Source organism: Homo sapiens, chromosome 15 (genome assembly GCF_000001405.40).
Source record: "Homo sapiens chromosome 15, GRCh38.p14 Primary Assembly".
In the NCBI taxonomy this organism is placed as follows: Eukaryota; Metazoa; Chordata; class Mammalia; order Primates; family Hominidae; genus Homo; species Homo sapiens.
In genome coordinates this window covers 63,670,191-63,691,984 of record NC_000015.10, presented here as the reverse complement: position 1 = coordinate 63,691,984, position 21,794 = coordinate 63,670,191, and the positions used below count along the sequence as shown (strand labels likewise).

The window sequence follows — 21,794 nt, the reverse complement described above, 5'->3', positions numbered from 1 at the left end:
TATAGAATAAGCTTAATCCCTGGTCCTTACCCTAAAATGTCTGCTTACATAGATTACAGTCAGTCCTTTCCTGTTCTCTTTTGCTAAAATTGTGGTAAAATGCACGTAACGTGAAATTTGCCATTTTAATCATTTAAATATACAATTTAGTGACATTAAGCTTATTCACAGTATTATACAACAATCACTGCCATCCATTTCCAGAACTTTTTTTCATAATCTCTAATCTAAGTATGCCAAAACATAATGTAATCCTCTACGGCACATGGTATTTTATATGTTTACACGCTCAATATACTTTTTTTCTTAATTAGTATAACTTACAACTGCTCCTTTTTTTTTCCTTTAATAAGGTAAGGCTTATATTAAGTTTCAAGAGGATAAAGAAAAATCAGATATTCATTTATTTTCAACTGATCTTATTACAGTTATATGTATTTTTTAATTACATATTTATGTATCAGTATCCTATTTTCTACCTTGGATTACTTCATTTATTTATTTATTTTTTATTATTTTGAGACAGAGGCTCTCTGTGTCGCCCAGGCTGGAGTGCAGTGGTGTGATCTCAACTCACTGCAACCTCTCACTTCCAGGCTCAAGTGATCCTCCCGTCTCAGCCTCCCAAGTAGCTGGGATCACAGGCGTGCACCACCACTCCCAGCTAATTTTTGTATTTTTAGTAAAGGCAGGGTTTCACCATGTTGGCCAGGCTGGTCTTGAACTCCTGGCCTTAAGTGATCTGCCCGCCTCAGCCTCCCAAAGTGCTGGGATTACAGGCATGGGTCACCATGCCCGGCTGTTGGCTTACTTTAGAAAAGTATAGTCTGTTTACTCCCGGTTAACCCTAACAATCCCTGTGAGACAGTCAGTGCATGGACGGAGAGAGGCAATGAGAGGGAATAATAAGCATGAGCTTTGGAGATTAACAGACCTGTTTAAAACTCTACCTCTATGAGCTTGTGTGGCTTTGGTCAAGTTACATAACTTCTCTGAGCCTCATTTTTCTCAACAGTAAAATGGGGCTGTAATTCAGTTTGTGAGGATTAATAGAATGTATGTGTGTGAAATGTGTAGCATAGCATAGTATCTGGCACAGATACTTTTTTACAATGCTCTTCCCATTATGTATACATAAAAACTGAGGCATAAGCATGAATGTATTCATACGCATTCATGGGTACAGGATGGATCCAGAATTCTTGCGATAATAGTTTGAAATCAAGTTTGTTCCACCCATAAATGTTTAGCAGCCTCAGGAATTTTTTTCCCAGAAGTTCATTTTAACTTTGAATTTAAGTCACATTGATAATAAGAAAAGGTCTTTTCCCCTCCAGGTATCCCTCTGGTTGGTAACTTAAGAACAAGGCTCCTTGCACTTCATGTCCTTGAAGCTGTGCTGCCAGCTTGTGAATCTGGTGTAGAAGATGATCAAATGGCCCAGGTTTTTATTTTTAAAATTATTAGAAGATGTTTTCCATATTTGCAAAATGATTCACCCAAATCTGTACTTAACAGTCTCTTCAGTTGTAAATGTGTCTTTTATTCAATAGCATAACGTTTACTTTTAGGACTGCTTTCTTTATTATTTCACCCCCAAGGAGAGGGCAAAAAAAATTAAGTTATGGGGTGTGAGAAGTAGAGGGATAGAGAATACTCTGCAAGGTCAGAAGGAAAGAAAAATCTGGAATTTCTTACTAGGTTTGGACCGCTATAGGAAGAAACATGTGGGAGTGTCCTAATCAGAGGTCTAAATAGTAAGGCAAAATGGGACCCACTTTCTAATAGGTTAATATTTCTTTTTTTTTTTTTTTTTTTGAGATGGAGTCTCGCTCTGTCGCCCAGCCTGGAGTGAGTGCAGTGGCGCGATCTCAGCTCACTGCAGCCTCCGCCTCCTGGGTTCAAGTGATTCTCCTGCCTTAGCCTCCAAGTAGCTGGGACTATAGGCACATGCTACCATGCCTGGCTAATTTTTGTATTTTTAGTAGAGATGGGGTTTCACCATGTTGGCCAGGCTGGTCTCAAACTCCCAACCTCAGGCAATCCACCCGCCTCAGCCTCCCAAAGTGCTGGGATTACAGGCATGAGCCACCGTGCCTGGCTTCTAATGGGTTAATATTTCTAAAAACTGATATTTAACTTATAACCACTAAAAGTAGCTGTTGAACACTGGTATAATCAAACTTCGCATGCGAGTTAATATTACAGTTAACATGATACAGCTTTTCTAAAAATACTTAAAGTTACTTTTTACAAATTTTATCCTTTTTTCTTCAATAAAACAGATTGTTGAGCGCTTATTTTCCCTTCTCTCTGATTGTATGTGGGAGACACCCATTGCTCAGGCCAAACATGCTATTCAGATAAAGGAAAAAGAACAAGAAATAAAACTACAGGTAATTGGTTTTTCCTAAAAGGTATTTCTTAACAGCATAAGTGAATATTCTGTCACTTGTCTCTGAATGCCTGTTCCTCTGAGGCACCTTGCTCTATCATTTATTCCATTTCCTCTCTTGGCATTCTGTCTCCCTTTCCACTGATTCCCTCCCCTCAGCTTATAACCATGCTTAACTCATTTCCTCTCTCCTAAATCACATTTTTATCTGTGAAGTCTTCTCTGTCTTCTCTCTTGTCCTGTAGTACTAAGCTTCTTAGAAGAGTAATCTGCATGTTTCAGCCACTTTCTTCTCATTATCTCTTCAACCCCACCATTTATCTTGTATCAAAGTACGAAATTAAATGACAAAGATAAGTGTTTGTTGCTAAATATAGTGTATCCTTTTTTTTCCACTTCTTACTTTACCTCTGGAAACTCTAGCCTTTTGTTATTTTCAAAACGCTTTCTCCCGGATCTCCGTATATTCTCTGCCAATCCTGATTCCCTTTGAAAGCAACTCTTTTTTGGTGCCACTTTTACCTTGCCTTCATCTCAAAATGTTGGTGTTCCACAGAGTTTGATCCTTGGCTTTTCCAGCAGTCTCATCCATACCTAAAGCAGGGGACCAACATGCTTTGATTTATGGTTTTAAAAGATCACTCTGCAGTGCCTTCCAAACTTAAATGCTAGCCTGGGTGTCTCCCCCTCAAACCCTTCCCCCAGCCCCTTTTTTTGTCCCATTTCTGATTGAAAGCACCACCATTCACCTAGTTTCCCAAACGCAAATTCCTGGGAATGCTAGATTATCATAATGTCCCCATGCATATAGTCACTAGCCTCCATTGATTTATATCTTGTGAATCCATCTCTTCATTTACCTTAATTCCTATCTTGGTTTTTGTGATTCCACACTTGTCCTGGTTCTCCTACTTTGATAGAATGGCCTGTTCTCATTCTCCTTTATAGGTTCTTCTTCTTCTTCTATTCAATCTAAGTGTTGGATTAATCCCCATTCCTTCTCAAAGAAACCTTATTCAGACTCATATGCCCATTTCTTATTCAGACTCATTAATCCACATTTCTTCTCAAAGAAACCTTATTCAGACTCATTTAAGACTTGATTCCCAAGTTTTAAATTCAAGTTCTGGCATTTCCCCTGAATTCTAGACTTATATTCCCATCTTCTACTAGTCTTATCACTTAAATGTCTAATAGGCATCTCATACTCAGTATGTCAAAAATGGCACCCTTAATCACGTTCTGTTTCTTCCCCCAGGCTTTCCCAGCCTCCTAGTGAGTTACTCAAGTGAAAAACCTAGGAGTCATCTTGATGCCTCACCCCCATTTCTCTATCCATACAATCTCTAGATTCTGTTGGCTCGTCTTTAAAATGTGACTTGAATTTGCCTACCTCCTCATCTCTTCTGTCATCACCCTATTCCAAGCCATTATCATCTCTGGCCTGAACTATGCAGTAACCTTCTAAGTGTTCTATCTGCTTCCATTGTTATGCCCTAAAGTCCATTCTCTGCACAGGATCCAGAATGATCTTTTAAAATTGTAAATCAGAGCATGTTCATCCCCTGCTTAAAATACTCCAATGGTTTCTCGTCATTCTTTGGATAAAATCTAGAGTTCCTTGACCTTTCCCTTTTGCTCACTATAGTCTAAGCAACTTGCCTTCTTCTTGTAGTTCTTGAACACAGTAATCCTGCTCATTCCTTAGGGCTTTAAACTGGCTATTACCTCTAGATATGTTTCTTAGAAATTTCTTGTCATTCAGGTCTCAGTTATCACATCTTCAGAGAGGCCTTCCCTAATCAATCTAGAGTAGTTGCCACACACTCTTTGTCGTGTCACCTGCTTTAATTTCAACATACCACTTAATCCTTGTATTTTCTTATTTTTTCTTTTTCTCTTCCAAAATAAAAGTTCTATGAGAGCAGAGACCTAATACCCTGCTAAATATGGAGGACCTGATAGGATACCTGGCAGAGAATAGAGATGCTTAATAAATGCACATTGAATGAATGAATTCAGGCCCTCACTATTTCTTTCTTTTTTTTTTTTGAGACAGAGTCTCGCTCTGTCACCCAGGCTGGAGTGCAGTGGCGCGATTTCTGCTTACTGCAACCTCTGCCTCCCCGGTTCAAGCGATTCTTCTGTCTCAGCTTCCTAAGTAGCTGGGATTACAGGCACCTGCCACCACACCTGACTAATTTTTGTATTTTTAGTAGAGACGGGGTTTCACCATATTAGCCAGGCTGATCTCAAACTACTGACCTTGTGATCCGCCCGCTTCGGTCTCTCAAATTGCTGGGATTACAAGTGTGAGCCACCACACCTGGCCCCCTCACTATTTCTTACCTGAACTTGCAGGGATATCCTGATTAGTCAGTCTCTCTGCCTTCATCCTGTATATCCTTGGTAAAATGATGTTTATAAAGCACAGATGTGATCAGAGATCTCCTATATACATCATTCTGTGTAGGTCTCCCTAATGTCAGTAGAGTAAAATTCAAACAATATGACACACAAGGTTTTCCATGATTTGATTTCTTCTTCTCTTTCTAGACTTGTTTTCTGCCAGTTTCATCTTCCAGTCATTACATGCTGCTTGTCTTTAAATCACTGAACTCTGTTGCATGTCTGCCTTGGCACATGCTGTACACACTGCCTTAAAATGCCTCTCTCATTTGACCAGCTGCTTACTGCCTTCTCATCATTCAGGACTCAACTTAGAAGTCATCTCCTTTTGAACATTACCTTGTCCTTCTCAAGCATGGTTAGACACACTTTTATGTTTCTACTATACCTATTATGTAATTTTGATTATTCTCCCACTGTAATACTAGCAGTATGTATTTGTCTTCTGTCCATTAATGACCTTAAGCTCTTTATGGGGAAGGGACCATGCTCTATTTATCATTGTGTTCCTGTTGCCCTGCACAGTAACTGATTCATAGTAGATACATAATAAATATTTGTAGGATAAAACCAAGGAGCCTCAGAATATATCTTATCTGAGACATGGATTATTCCAAAATGCTGACCCAGCTTCTTTTCTGGTAGAAGCAGGGCGAGTTGGAAGAAGAAGATGAGAATCTTCCTATCCAAGAAGTATCCTTTGACCCGGAGAAAGCTCAGTGTTGCCTAGTGGAGAATGGACAGATTTTAACTCACGGCAGTGGAGGGAAAGGATATGGATTGGCATCTACAGGAGTAACTTCTGGGTGCTATCAGTGGAAGGTACGTAGAAAATCTAATAGTTTTTAGCATTTTGTCTTTTAGTCCTTTTTTTTCCAGGTTCTTATAATAAATGTGTAGAAAGACTGAAAAAAAATCGTGATATGTAAATGTTCTATTATTATGTAAGATAATATAAATGGAAACCAAGTGAAGGATATACAGGAACTCTGTGCTATTTTTGTAACCCTTATAATTCTAAAGTTATCTCAAAAATGTTAAAAATGGATGTTTAAAATCATGCTATAGCCCTCCCATAAGGAGTCACACAGAACACATTTTCTTCTAGCAATGAAAATGAAGCAAAGCGTGTGATGTTTTTGTCTAGGAAAGCCCATTAGAGATTCAGTGCCCACAATTTTTATAGGGAACTGTTCATATTGGTACCCTCTGCCTAGCATGTACTAAAATTTTAGATTTCCAGAAGAAAAGCTAGTATTTAGCATAAACCATATTGTTTGTACAATCTAGATACAATAAGCCAGCCTGTATCAGTTAGGTAAAATTTATATCAGTATAGGGGACTGTTTACCAGTCAAGTTCCCCCATGCCAGCCAAGGGCCAACATTGCAAGCAGGCATTTCTAAGGATAGTAGTCTCTGTTGTGTTAACTCCTTCTTTTGCACAGTCTACTCCTTTATCTCTTGGGCATGGTATATATACAGTAAAACTATCAATAGGACCCCATGCAGGGGGATAAGATTGGCCAGTAATATTGACTTCAGTTATGCCTTTTAGGGGTCCTAGACTTAGCCAGTTACAACAGATCTCATTAACCAACAGGTCTATCTTAAAAAGCCATGTGACTTCATTCTTAAGCTTTTGTCTTAACTTTTAAAATGTAGATTAGTCATCAATTTAGCACTGGACAACTCTGGCCAGTCCAGGACTGAGGTATTATGATAAGGTGCACACACAAGAAATATAATCCCTTAGGGTATATGTGTTGCCCTTGGAAACAAAGAATTTATAATTATTAGGGCACCTGTAATCAGAACATATAATAGGCAGCACAGGTTAACATGATACCAATGTGACCTGCCCCCATGGGGCCTTCCACTCTGTGCTCCCAGTTCAGTCTGAATAATTAAGTTGAGTCTTGGTTTCAGAGGGACTGTCTGAAAGCAGTCAGTTTTAAAGGATTTTGTTTTCTGTGACATCATTATTCCTGCCTCAAGAGTGTGGATGACATCTCGAGGTGTTTTGTGGAAACTGCAGGAGCTGGAGCCACCCACTGTGGTCTTTTGACAGACTTGACAAGTTTGATGAGAAGCTCAGCAATCAGTTTGAATTTAAAGTGCTCACAGCAGCTTTCAAGACAAAATAGTTTTATTTTCTTTTGTGTTTTTGGTTGAGACGGAGTCTTGCTCTGTCACCCAGGCTGGAGTGCAGTGGTGCGATCTTGGCTCACTGCAACCTCCGCCTCCTGGGTTCAAGCGATTCTCCTGCCTCAGCCTCCCAATTAGCTAGGACTACAGGCGCCTGCCACCACGCCTGGCTAATTTTTTATATTTTTAGTAGAGATAGGGTTTTGCCATGTTGGCCAGGCTGATCTGGAACTCCTGACCTCAGGTGATCCACCCACCTTGGCTTCCCAAAGTGCTGGGATTACAGGTGTGAGCCACCGCGCCTGGCCCAACATAGATTTTTTTCCCCCGCTAGAAGGTAGAGAACTTTTAGGAACAGTTCTGAAAAACAGATCATTAATGCCCTCCCGACTCCTCCATATTTTCCCAAGTCTTGAGTTTTTGTTTTTTCTCTGTATGAAATTGAGTGTCCCATTTAGTAATTACAACTTTAAATTTTTTAATTTTTAAAAATCATTTGTTATTTTTATCTAGACCTTTTTGTCCAGAAGGGTTGGATGCAAGAGGAAGAGTTTTCACACAAAAACATTTGCATACAACTTAACCAGAAAGGTTAGGAATTGGCCAGGACAAAATTTCAGTTACAGTTTATTTTTTTCAAAATAGGTTTATAAAACCTTCTACATCTTTCGTCCTAATCATTTATCCAGTGGGCAGTCTGGAAAAGATCAGTTTCTTTCTGGGAACAGTTTTATTTAGTAAACTGCTTTATTGGTGTGTCTTGTTTATCAGGAGAAAGGTGAGGGATGTAGAGTCAATTGATCAGTCCCTTGTTGCAAACTGCAACTATTCTAGAAAGCTTAACATGTTGGGACATCACCTAGAGGGTATTGAGAATACAATCTCTTAAAGAGTGTTTGGAAGTATATTGCCCCCAGAAAACACACTCTTTTCGTGGATACCTGCAAGAAACCTGGACAGTCCAGCCAGCATCCAAGATGTTTTTCAGACTTTGTGGCCCCACAGAGGGGGAGTGTTCCAAATCCACAACAGTCCCAGATTTTGAGTTTTGTTCATTCAGCTTGTGCCTGCTTTTAGCTGAGCACAACTCACTTGGGTTGAAATAACCTAGAGCACACAGTGTCAGGTTTTAGCTTATAGTCAGGTCCAGGCAATTAGAATGTGTGAGTTCAGGATTCCAAGCCAGCAGCTTTTTGGGGCAGCAGTTAAATCTAGATGGGGCCAGTTATGGGGGCATGTGCCTATACAGTCCCAGTACTTGGAAGGCAGAGGCTGGAGGATTGCTTGAGCCCAGGAGTTTGAAGCCACAGTGAGCTCTGTTTACACTACTGCATGCCAGCCTGGGTAACAGAAAGAGACCCTATCTCTTAAAAACAAAAACAAACCTTAGATGGTGTAGGACCTGACAATAGTGTTTTAAGTCCAGGCTTGAAAACAAGGCTTTTCTAAGCTCTGTTTGCTTGTCAATCTTGGAGTCCAGATTGACCCACTCAGAAATATGTACTTAGGCTAGAAAGTCATCAGCCTGTAAGTGTTAGACATATGATTTTATAAGAACTCGTTAGCCACTGAATGTTTTTTAAAACTCTAAAAGCATATGTCTATATCTCCATCTAGAGCTTGCCTCTCTTTTATTTTATCTCTGTTTTCCCAGAGACTCCAATAGGAAAAAATCATAGCAAAAACCCACCAGTTATAGACACTTGTTTTGTTTTTAATATAGAGTTTAAATTCCAATCCACCCACTGGTGACAAAAAGCAAGTAAGTTGTGTCCCACTAGTATGTTTTTCTTTTGGAGCTTTCCCTGATCAGGATGAAACTTTAGCATTTATGAAGTTACAAGCTTGTAACATTTTGCATCTTAATTTTTTTTCTTTCTTTTTTTTTTTTTTTTTTTGAGACAGAGTGTAGCTCTGTTGCCCAGGCTGGAGTGCAGTGGCACAAGCTCGGCTCCCTGCAACCTCCACCTGCCAGTTTCAAGGGATTCTCCCGCCTCAGCCTCCCGAATAGGTGAGACTGGAGGCACGCATCAGCATGCCTGGCTAATTTTTGTGTTTTTAGTAGATATAAGGTTTCACCATGTTGGCCAGGCTGGACTTGAACTCCCAACCTCAAGTGATCTGCCTGCCTCGGCCTCCCAAAATGCTGAAATAACAGGCATGAGCCATTGTGCCCAGCCTTTGCATCTTTTTTTTTTTTAATCATACATCCAGATGTAGTTGCCACAAAATAAAGCTGTTTTTAAAAGTTTTCTTCCTCCCTTCTCACATCTTAAGTTTACTCAAACCTCTAGCAATAAATTTAGCATTTACAAGGTAAATTGTGGCAGGGGGAGAACCTGCTGTAGCAATAGCAAAAGCTCAGCTTAAGAAAATAGCTGGAGTAGTTCCTTTCTATTCTTGTTTGTTTGTTTTTGTATATTTTGTAGAGATGGGGTTCTTGCTTTCTTGCCCAAGGTAGTCTCAAACTCCTGGCTTCAAGCAGTCCTCCCTCCTTAGCCTCCCAAAGTGCTAAGATTACAGGTGTGAGCCCCTGCACCCACACTCAAAGCTGTCAGGGGTTTTTGAACCCTTTCCCCTCCCACTGGAGGAGAGAGCAACTACAAGCTAATTTTTCTACTCTGGCTCATCTAAAGCCCACTTGTGGGAATATTTGGGCCCTTTCTCCTCAGGAAAGAAGTTGTTCCTGGAAGAAAGAACAGCACAGTTTTTACCTGAGCTGCTCTTTTTTCCTAACTTTAGCTAGCAAGGCCAAGAGCGTCTGGGGTAGCAAACCAACTCTCTTGTGATTGGATTTATCTTAAAAATTGATAGGTAACTTTTGCCCCTCACAACAGATAGCAGTCCACCTTCTGTTTCATACTATGTGTAACTCCATAGCCACCTAGGTACCAGAGTTTTATCTTTTCCTTTCGTCTCTTTCTTTTTCCCCAGCAATATTTAACTATATTCTAATGCATCAGGGTTGTTCTAGTGAATCTCATTGCTGCCACTGCTAAGTCATGAGTCCCCAAGACCACCCTCACATTCAGAGATTCACTAGAAGGACTCGTCAGACTCCACACGTTGATACACTCATGACGGAGACTTATATTATAATGATGCGGTAAGGATATACACCCAGTTAATAAGGGAAGGACACAGGTGAGGTATAGAAGAATCCTGTAGGCTTCCTTCTGTTCTCTCCCTGCCATGAGCACAAGTGCACAAGCTTTCCCCAGCAAGAAAAATAACATGTGTGTGATGTTTCTAGAGAACCCCATTAGAGATTCAGAACCCAAGGTTTTTACTGGGGGCTGGTCACGTAGACACCTTCAACCTGACATGTACCAACATTTCATACTCCCAGAAGGAGAGCAGGTATTCAGCATAAACCACATTGTGTGTTTAAATGTTCTAGGTCAGTGAGCCACCTTTATCACGTAGGGGAAGTTTTTTTTTTTTTAAATCAGTGTAAGAAACTTTACCAGTCAAATTCCCAGGTCCTAGCCAAAGGCCAGTGTTGCAAGCATGCCTTTTTGAAAATAGTAATAGTCACACTAGGTGTAGTGGCTGATGCCTATAATCCCAACACTTTGGGAGGCCGAGGTGGGAGGATTGCTTGAGGCCAGGAGTTCAAGACCAGACTGTGTAACATAACAAGACCTCATCTCTACAAAAAATAACTAGCCAGGCATGATGGTGTACACCTGTAGTCCTAGTTACTCAGGAGACTGAGGCAGGAGAATTGCTTGAGCCCAGGAATTTGACGCTTCAGTGAGCCATGATCATGCTACTGTACTCCAGCCTGGGAAACAGAGTGAGACCCCATCTCTTTAGAAAATTAAAAACAAAACAAAACAAAACAAAACAAAACAATACACCTAGTCTCAGGCTTAATATATTAACTCTTTTTCTAAACAGAGGTATATGCAAGAGAGTAGTTAAAATCTATATGTAAAGAATTAAAGTTTTCATTAATTTCTGGACTAAACATACTTCCTCAGCTTCATTATTAAGTTGTAAGTTAGAATTGCTTATTTTAAATACTATAGATATTCAAAGGTTATTCTAAATGCCCTGCAAGATAAAGAATGTTTTAAAATCTTTCTAAATTGATGCGATTATTTTCGTGTTATTTTTATTTATGCTGAAAATAACATGTTTCCATAAATGCATTAGTATTATTTATAAACATATTTTCAGTATTGGTTAATGCAGTTAATAGTATATAAATAGATTTTTTGAGTATTAATGAATATCCCACTTTTATTTTAGTTTTATATTGTGAAGGAAAACAGAGGTAATGAAGGCACGTGTGTTGGAGTTTCTCGCTGGCCAGTACATGACTTTAATCACCGCACTACCTCGGATATGTGGCTCTATAGGGCCTACAGTGGTAACCTCTATCACAATGGAGAACAGACTCTCACATTGTCCAGCTTTACTCAAGGAGATTTCATTACCTGTGTGTTAGACATGGAAGCCAGGACCATTTCTTTTGGGAAAAATGGAGAGGTACCGACACCCATTCACAAGCATTACATTTTTCTTGTTTCTATTTATAGTCAACTCGGTTATTCAAGTGCCACGTATTCAGTTTATAGATTATCTGCTCGTCTCTCCTTTCTCTCTAATACTTTCTGGTTCTTAAAACATTTATTAACAACAAACAGGAAGATAGTAAAACCCCAATAAGATTTTTGAAACAGATGAACACATTATGATCACTTATTATATGTAGAATTTTCTCGGTTAGCAAGGTTAATTGAGAATTTGATCTAGTAACTTTTGTTCTGTCTCATAAAAGCTTTCAATTCTAATGTGGTTAGATATTGTGAATTAAAAAAATTTCTATTTCCTTTTTCTTTTCCTCACTGCTGCCACACTGTAGGAACCCAAATTAGCTTTTGAAGATGTGGATGCAGCAGAGTTGTACCCATGTGTGATGTTCTATAGTAGCAATCCAGGGGAAAAGGTAATGAAGTCTCAAACCTTTATTTAAGAATATTTGTTATTTTATTGTTTAGCATCAGATAGAGTTTATAAATATAATAAGCTATTTCTTCTGCCATTAAAAGTACTTGACTTAGGTAATCCATTCTTCTAGAAGAAGGTTACTTTCAGAAATTGACTTTACGATATATTAATATTAAGGCACTATTTCATGTTCTGGCAATTTGAATACAGTGAGTCAACTTTCAAACGTGCAGTCACAAGAACTACAAGACCTAGTTTAGGGATAATCTAATTCACTGGCAATTATGGGTATGAGAGAGAAATCTAGAAATAATTTTAAATGTAATAAGATGCTATCAGCTGAATAATAGAAGTTGTAGTCATCATGAGGAAACTACCTTTCATTCAGCTGGGGGAATTTTCAGGTGTTGTAGATGGTGTGAATTTGAACTTCATGACAACAGTATTAATAGGATACCCTCCATTGTAAACTTTCTCTTTCACCTCATCCAAAACCCAGGCAGAGAAAACCTTTGTGATCTCCCTGTGCTGGTGGGTAGATTTTTTTTCCCTACTCCATCCTTTCACTTGCGGATGCATAGTACAGCTTAAGTCAAGTCTCAAGAATTTCTAGCCATTATGTAGTAGAAGCTTTCAGGTTTTATCATGTATAATATTTCCATAATGAAATTGCTGGACCTGATATATTCTAACCAAGAAAATTACCTTTTATTCTATGTTTTTAAAAATACATATTTTTAATGTCAAGGAATTATAATTTAAGGCTAGCTGAGAACTGTTTCTTGGACAGCCAGGACAACCAAAACTGAACTGGAGATGAAGTAAAGATGCAGCCCAGTGCCTGATACCATCCCTTGCCCTATGTAGGTTTGCAGCCCAAAGTAGTTTCTGTCATGTTCTGGTTCGAATGATGGCCTGGTGCTTTCTGCCATCTGTGAACCTTGAAGAAATTCATTCAGACTTAGACTATGTATCAATTAATTTATTCTATCTAGAAGGCATTTTTGATAAATTTTAGAACCTCTGAGAAACACAATACTAATAGCAGTTAACCTTTTTTAACATTTACAGTGTGACTGGCAATGTACTAATAAGCACTTTATGTGCATAATCTCATTTAATCTTTAAAATAACTGTAGGAGACAGATGCTATTATTAGTGTCAGGTTTTAAATGAAAAGCTAAGACTTAGAATGATTAAATAATTTCCCAAGATTATACAGAGTTATGATTTGAACCCAAGTTTTGCTCCTCTTTTTACTTCTGTGTCTTATTTGCAGTGTGTATCCAGATTGTGACTTTATGATTTTACTTTTGCACCCCTTGAACAATGTAAAATGTCCAGGACTCATCATTCTGGAGCCTTGAGGATGAGAATGAGTATATCCTTAAGGCTTATTTTAGACTAAATTGAGTCAGTCATATACGGCTTGGTCTCTATATTCATCTTTCAAATTTTCCTAACATCTCTGGAATTCATGAGTTACAGGAAATGTAAATAACAGGGCAGCTTATTCCAGTGGACCATACCACTACTAACTTCAGTGTGTCTGTGACATTTCCTTACTCTTTGGGGGCCAGTTGGTATAATTCACATGTATGAAGAGACCCAAATACTAGTTCAACATGGGATTCTACATGTTAGAATTTATAGTGACTAAGAAGAACTACTAATAGCATGTGTTTTCCACCCTCTTTACTTTTATATAGGTGAAAATTTGTGATATGCAGATGCGTGGCACACCCCGAGACTTACTTCCAGGAGACCCTATTTGTAGTCCAGTAGCAGCAGTGCTGGCTGAGGCCACTATTCAGCTCATCCGTATCCTTCACCGAACAGACCGTTGGACTTACTGCATTAACAAAAAAATGATGGAAAGGCTTCACAAAATTAAGATATGTATTAAAGAGTCAGGTCAGAAGCTAAAGAAAAGCCGCTCGGTTCAGAGCCGAGAGGAAAATGAAATGAGAGAGGAGAAGGAGAGCAAAGAGGAAGAGAAAGGTAAACATACTAGGCATGGCCTCGCTGACCTCTCAGAGCTGCAGCTGAGGACTCTTTGCATAGAGGTGTGGCCCGTGCTGGCTGTGATAGGAGGAGTTGATGCTGGTCTTAGAGTTGGAGGTCGGTGTGTTCACAAGCAAACTGGGCGCCATGCCACGCTGCTGGGAGTGGTCAAAGAGGGCAGCACGTCTGCCAAGGTCCAATGGGATGAAGCAGAAATTACTATCAGGTATGATCTGTTGAGTTACACTTTTAGCAAACAAATATTTAATGGTGAAATAGGCCATTGCCTGTCGACAGTGAGTAATTATGTATTTTAGGTGAGCTGCCAGTTAACTTTTAAAAATATTTCTCATGCAGCTAGATGTTTCTACTGTAATTTCTTAAAGGAGAATTTCCTAAACCCATGTTCTTTGAAATACTAGTGGGTTTTAAAAATACATAGTCTTTTTGTTCTGTTTTGTTTTGGGGAAAAAATGGTAAGCTCCTTAGTTTATATGTTTAACTGGGATTCTTCTTCCAATTTTCATTTGGCTTTTTGCATTTTGATCATTTCTGTTACACACTGGCATAGTAAAAAGCCAGCCAGCTAATCTGTTCATTGCATTTTGTGGTAGCAAGGCTCTGAATATTGGATATGAACGTTTGACGGACTGAAATTAGGCTTTGCATTATCTGTAATTTTAAGTATTCTTCCTTTTTATAAAACCACATATTTCTATCCCCTCAATGTAAACATTTTGATTAGATGTGAAAGTTACATTTATTTAACACAAACTGGGTATTTAAAAGCATTTAGGTGTGTTTGAATTCAGAGAGGATTTGTGCAAATTACAAATTTCATATGTTTACAAGGAAATGCAGGTTGAGCATCCCAAATCCAAAAATCCAAAATCCAAAGTGCTCCAATGAATATTTCCATTGAGCATCATGTTGGTGCTCAAAAAGTTTCAGGTTTTCACTCAAAGGAGTTGCCCATTGGAGCATTTCAGATTTGGGATTTTTGGATTTGGGATGCTCACCTGCTAAGTACAATGTAAATATTCCAAAATTTGGGAAAAAAATCTGAAATCCAGAACACTTCTGATCCTGTGCATTTTGGATAAGGGATACTCATCCTGTCAAGTATCTTCCTTGATAAGTAGACTCATTTGTCTAATGACTCTACATAATTGTATCATTTGAAAATATGGATTTATTGGTGATATTATGTAACTGTTCATTATGCTGCCCATTGTGATTCCTGTAAAGTTACATGTTGGTATGACATAGAACAATATCTTTTTAAATTTTATTTGATTTTATTATTTATTTTTTTGAGACGGAATCTCGCTCTGTCGCCCAGGCTGGAGGGCAATGGCATGATCTTGGCTCACTGCAACTTCTGCCTCCCGGGTTCAAGCAATTCTCCCACCTCAGTCTTCCGAGTAGCTGGGATTACAGGCACCCACCATCATGCCCGGCTAATTTTTATATTTTTGTAGAGACAGGGTTTCACCATGTTACCCAGGTTGGTCTTGAACTCCTGACCTCAAGTGATCCACCTGCCTCGGCCTCCCAAAGTGCTGAGATTACAGACATGAGCCACCACGCTCGGCCGGAACAATATCTAAAACAGTGGTTCTTTGTGGTTTTGGAGTGGTACTGTTTCAGAATTTAGTGAATGCTATGGATCATCTTAGCCAAAAAATACATACACATAAACTTTACACACAATTTCAGGGGTTAATGGACTCTGCCTTCCCCTCCATTCTACCAAGCTAAGAAACCAGTGACAGCTTTACAGAATGACATGCAAGTGTCGACCTTTCCTCTCATTCTTTGCCTTGTTTCAGAAAGGATTTATGATGCCTGGTTAAGATGCATACAGTAGGCTGGGCTTGGTGGCTCACACTTGTAATCCCGGCAGTTTGGGAGGCAGAGGCAGGCAGATCACCTGAGGTCAGGAGTTTGAGACCGGCCTGGCCACCATGGCAAAACCTTCTTTCTACTAAAAATACAAAAAAGCCAGCCGTAGTGGCGTGCGCCTGTAATCCCAGCTACTCAGGGAGCTAAGGCAGGAGAATCTCTTGAACTCAGTAGTCAGAGGTTGCAGTGAGCTGAGATCGCACCACTGCACTGCAGCCTGGGTGACAGAACAAGACTCCGTCTCCAAAAAAAAAAAAAAAAAGATGTATACAGTATAGCAAAATAAGTGAATTAATAAATTAAAACAAGAAAAATGAGCCTAGAGGAAAATAGAAAGGTAATATAGAACCAAGATTTAGGTTAGAACAACAAAACTTTATACCAGCAAAAGCTTTTTATTACATTTTGTATAATTATATCATTCTTAAACTTCAGGAAGTTCTTGCCAATATCAGGAAATATATAATTATATTTTGGCTTAAACTATAGAGGCATTATTTGAGACTACAAAGTAAACTTTTTTATGAAATGAAGTCCTCACTGAAATAAGTTATAAGTAACCATTTATAAACTAGATTTATTATACAAATTTTCTGAATAGCTTACATCAAACTACATCTGACCAACCTCCTGTTTTTATAAGTAAAGGTACACAGCCACACCCATTTGTTTAGTTGTATCAGTGGCTGCTTTTGCACTATGATGGCAGGGTTGAGTGGTTGCAGCTGAGACTGTGTGCCCTGCAGAGTCTAAAATATTTCCTGTCTGGCCCCTTACAGAAAGTTTGCTAACTCCTGGCATACATTATATATTAGTGAATATTCTTATTTGAAAGCATCTCATTGCTTCTGCATTTAGTATCACATCTCCCCATTTTCTCATAATAGACTCGTTTTTCTCTGTGTTTGTAATGATTTCTCTAGTTTGTGTAAATTATTCTCTGTATTGTGTACATGATGCACCTTATTTTGTCTACATTATTTTCCGTACCTTCCTCCCGTCTTTCCCTCACTTGCTTCTTCCTGTGTCATTCTGATCTTTATTAAAGCTTCCCAACTTTTTGGTCGCCTAGTGATACTCCATTGTATAATCTGGAACCCTGTGAACCATTGCCGTTTGATGTGGCGCGATTCCGAGGCCTGACGGCTTCTGTGCTGCTGGACCTAACATATCTCACTGGCGTTCATGAAGACATGGGCAAACAGAGCACCAAACGACATGAAAAGAAACACCGACATGAATCCGAGGAGAAAGGGGATGTTGAGCAGAAACCTGAGAGTGAATCCGCTTTAGATATGCGAACAGGCCTAACATCTGATGACGTCAAAAGTCAGAGTACCACAAGCTCCAAATCAGAAAATGAAATCGCTTCATTTTCTTTAGATCCAACACTGCCAAGTGTGGAATCCCAACATCAAATAACAGAAGGGAAAAGAAAAAATCATGAACACATGTCCAAAAACCATGATGTAGCCCAGTCAGAAATCAGAGCAGTCCAGCTGTCCTATCTTTACCTCGGTGCTATGAAGTCACTTAGTGCCCTTCTTGGCTGTAGTAAATATGCTGAGCTGTTGCTGATACCAAAAGTTCTGGCTGAAAATGGCCACAACTCAGACTGTGCAAGTTCTCCAGTTGTTCATGAAGACGTGGAGATGCGAGCAGCCCTGCAGTTCTTGATGCGACACATGGTGAAGCGAGCAGTCATGCGGTCACCCATAAAGAGAGCATTGGGATTAGCTGATCTGGAACGAGCGCAAGCCATGATCTATAAATTAGTGGTTCATGGGCTTTTGGAAGACCAGTTTGGGGGCAAAATTAAGCAAGGTATGTTATCTGATTTTTTTTTTTTTTGCTTTTGTGCTGTTGAGATTATTTTCATAATTGTCAGAAGTGATACATTCTGTAAGTGATTTGTAAAAAAAAAAAAATTTTTTTTTTGGTCAAAGCAATTTTCACATCATTTTTTCTTGAAAACAGTTCTTTTTTATTATTTTTCTATTAGTAATCTTCTGTCTATAATTTTGCTATTTTAAACCTATACCAGTGTTAGAACACAGCAATTATTACTACATTTTGTAAAACAAAATTTAACTTATACCAAAAAAAGTATTTATTGATCTGACTCAAAATACATAGTATTCTGGCAAGCATGGTGGCTCATGCCTGTAATCCCAGCACTTTGGGAGGCCGAGGTGGGCAGATCACTTGAGGCCAGGAGTTCTAGACCAGCCTGGCCAACATGGTGAAACCCTGTCTCTACTAAAAATACAAAAATTAACCGGGCATAATGGCGTGTGCCTTTAATCCCAGCTACTCAGGAAGCTAAGGCAGTAGAATATCTTGAACCTGGGAGGCGGAGGTTACAGTGAGCCGAGATTGTGCCACTGCACTCAAGCCTGGGCGGCTGAGCGAGACTCTGTCTCAAAAAACAAACCAAAATACATAGTATTCTGATATCTTCTCAGAGATATTTTAAAATAAATTTTAAAGTCTCTACTTTCATAGGCTGCATATTGCATGTAAAAAAAGAAAAGCTCTGTTTTATCTTGTATCCTCACATTTGGGGAGAATATGAATGCAGAAATAAAAATGAGATTCGTTCAGTCAATGTTTGTTGAGTACCTACTATGTGTTGGGTACTTTCTTAGGTTCTGGAGAGACAGCAGTTAACAAAACAAAGTCCCTTGCCTTCATGGAGTTTATATTGTTCTTCCTTCTTTCCCTTCTTTCTTCTTTTCCTTTGTACTTATTCCTTTTCTTCTTGTCTTAGCTTGGACAGTAAATAGAGAGAGAGAGAGGTACATGGTGTATATAAGTAGGAATGTTAAGATCATGATGATTGTGAAGTAATGTGGCTTTTTATCAAACCTAATAGAATTACTTGTCTTTGTAGCAACTCATATTTTAGTTATGTTTATTTGTAGGATTCCTTAACAATTAAAAAAAATATATAAATACTTTGTAAACTTTTAGAGTTGTTAACTAAGTGGGTTTTTTAATGAAATTGTCCTTTTTAAATTGTGAAGTTTCTGTCTTGGTTTTTACTCTTCTTGTATTTACATGCTTTTATCTTTGCCTATTTGTAGATTAAAGATAGGCATCAAAATGAAAGTGTGAAGGAAACACAGTTTTAATGATTGGATACCTTAGAGAACCTCTTATCAGATCTTACAACCAAAAGTGAGACTTTTTTTGTTTTTAAGAGAACCCTCTTCTCTAAAAACAGAAATGTGTAATTACAAGGGCTCATTACAATACTGTCTGTAGAGTCTGGAATTAATGAGTACAGTAGTGAATACAAAGATGTATATAAGTAAGAATATTTTTTTCTGTCAATCTTTCATAGAAATTGATGCTTGTGAAATATATTTAGAAACTTTTAAATTAAACAGGTAGAAGTTTTTTATTCCCGCTGTTATTTTTGAAAAAACAAATCCTTACTACTTTCTTAACCTTTTTTTTGGTTTCTAGAGATTGATCAACAAGCTGAAGAAAGTGACCCTGCCCAGCAGGCACAGACACCAGTTACTACTAGCCCATCAGCCTCAAGCACGACCTCCTTTATGAGCAGCTCTCTGGAGGACACCACAACTGCCACCACTCCAGTCACTGACACAGAAACAGTGCCTGCATCCGAGTCCCCGGGAGTGATGCCTCTTAGTCTTCTCAGGTAGAGAAGTTGACCTTTAATGTCTGCCATACTGATGCCTGTGTTTCTGAAGGCACAGTTGTCCTCATATGAATAGTATGCCCAACTGAATCTTGGTGTTCTAGAGCTAGAAAGAAACTAAGAGATTATATAGTCAAGCTCATTTTACTGAATTTGGAAATGTCCCTCAGAAGTTTAATAACTTACCCAAAACTCACAGCCAGTTAGTGGTGATCCCAGGTCTAATCAGCTGTCGTGCTGACCAGCAAGTAGTCTAACATTCTCTCTCTTATGATGATAATTTTTTCCCCTAAGTTTTTGAGTATTTTTTTTTCCTCAAAAAGTAAATACTTTTATTTGGAATATTCACCTCCATGAAAATAATTTTCTCTTCTCAGGTTGTTTTCATTTTAAGCATACTTCTTTAACTGTATTTTTATTCTTAAAAAAATTTCGAGCAAGTCTGCTTTTCAAACGAAAGGGCATGTCTTATGATGCTTCTTTAGCCAACTCTATTTTAATAGGTTTGTAAATTCCAAGTGATGCTTACTTAAATTTCTTTTTGCTTTAATTTGCCAGATGTATATACAAATGAAAACTTTTGAGAGAAGAGCCTTCAGGGAAGAGACTGTTTTATGAGCTCTCTTAACTATGACTTAAGTGAAATAAGGGAAGCAGAATGGTTAGCCTCCCTTTTTCTTCTTTCCCCTCTTTCCTTAGTTAAGAAGGCATTACGATTTTCACTGTGTAGACTGACATCTTAAACAGTGGAACAGGGGAGTGTCTATTGTAGTGATTCTCAATTTTTGGTGTGCCCAAGGCCACCTGGGCAACTTTTTAAAGCTCTAGGGCTGTATCCCTCAGCAAGTCTGATTCAGTAGGTCTGGTGGGGCCCATAGTTTACATTTTAATTAAGTTTCTCTAGTGATTCTGATACAGTGGCTTCAGCGTACACTTTGAGAATTACTGCTGTGGTCTTGTGCAGGAGTACAATCCTAGTACCATTTTCAGACCCCACATATCTCCTACATGTTAGCTCTCTTACTGGAATAATAGTTTCAGGAGGTGCGTCTGTTCAAAGAATAAGGAAGATAGAGGAATAATAGGTTATTCTTTTTTTCTCTCTCACTTTTTTTTTTTTTTAAGAGACAGCTGCTTACTCTGTCACTGAGACTGGATTACAGCAGCACAGTCATAGTTCATTGCAGCCTCAAAGTCTTCTAGATTCAAGCCATCCTCCTGCCTCAGTCTCCTGAGTAGCTGGGACTACAAGTGTACCACCACACCCAGCTAATTTTTTTTTTTTTTTTTTTGAGACAAAGTTTCACTCTTGTTGCCCAGGCTGGAGTGCAGTGGTGCGATCTGGGCTCACCGTAACCTCAGCCTCCTGAGTTCAAGCGATTCTCCTGCCTCAGCCTCCTGAGTAGTTGGGATTACAGGCATGTGCTACCACTCCCGGCTAACTTTTTGTATTTTTAGTAGAGACAGGGTTTCTCCATGCTGGTCAGGCTGGTCTCGAACTCCCAACCTCAGGGGATCTGCCCACCTTAGCCTCCCAAAGTGCAGAGATTACAGATGTGAGCCACCGCACCTGGCCCCTCGCTAATTTTTTGAAATTTTTTTGTAGAGACAGGATCTTGCTTTGTTGTCCAGGCTTGTCTTGAACTCTTGGCCTCAAGTGATCCTGTGGCCTCAGCCTCCCAAAGTATGCTGGTATTACAGGTGTGAGCCACGATGCTTGCCTGATACGACATTCTAATATGGTTTTTAATCCCTCTGGCAATTACAGAATTCAAGGCGTCCACACAAGATCAGTAGCACTGTGACTCCTTGTAACCTTTTCAGCTCTGATTAGTGTGGGCATGGGATTCAGTGGTAGAATCATGCCCCCTTGCTCCCATAGGCATTCACCAGGACTTATGACTCCTCATTTCTTCTGTCTTCATTTTCCTGCTATTGGCTGGGACTTCATTAGAGTTGCACTTGGCTCTTACTGGGCGAACATCATTTAGTAGAGGAAAAACCAGAGAACTACTCCTTCCTGTGTGTATACCATTGTATTACTGACTTGGTAGACAGTACATTTTTGATACTTAGAAAGTTCCTAGTTCTTTTGGACAAATCTGAAGAGCAGTCAGTGTGGATCTTTATGGACTTTATACTCTGACTGCTGTCCACATTTCTCAACTGAAGAGGGGTTCTCCCTCCAATACCTTTCCCTGACCATGCTCCACATTCTCATCGGAGAAGGGGCTGCCTCCCCGTACCTTTCCCCGACTGTGCCGCTGACATATCATTCATGTACTGTTTTGCAGTTGTGCTAGGT

The 21,794-nt window shown here is 39.1% G+C and overlaps 1 protein-coding gene across 50 annotated transcripts in view; it reads left to right on the top strand.

Annotated features, from left to right (window-relative positions):
- The window catches only part of HERC1 (HECT and RLD domain containing E3 ubiquitin protein ligase family member 1), a 225,331-nt gene that overhangs the window by 141,964 nt on the left and 61,573 nt on the right, over positions 1-21,794 (top strand). For 19 of the 50 annotated variants that reach the window (XM_047433255.1, NM_003922.4, XM_047433238.1 and 16 more), the window contains 8 exons: positions 1,338-1,444; positions 2,286-2,396; positions 5,450-5,626; positions 11,209-11,448; positions 11,825-11,908; positions 13,620-14,140; positions 16,868-17,643; positions 19,291-19,489. In XM_047433255.1, the coding sequence (XP_047289211.1) occupies positions 1,338-1,444; positions 2,286-2,396; positions 5,450-5,626; positions 11,209-11,448; positions 11,825-11,908; positions 13,620-14,140; positions 16,868-17,643; positions 19,291-19,489 (2,215 nt within the window). The remainder of the gene's footprint in view (positions 1-1,337; positions 1,445-2,285; positions 2,397-5,449; positions 5,627-11,208; positions 11,449-11,824; positions 11,909-13,619; positions 14,141-16,867; positions 17,644-19,290; positions 19,490-21,794) is intronic. The other 31 variants (XM_047433252.1, XM_047433258.1, XM_047433257.1 and 28 more) reach the window with 3 other exon arrangements.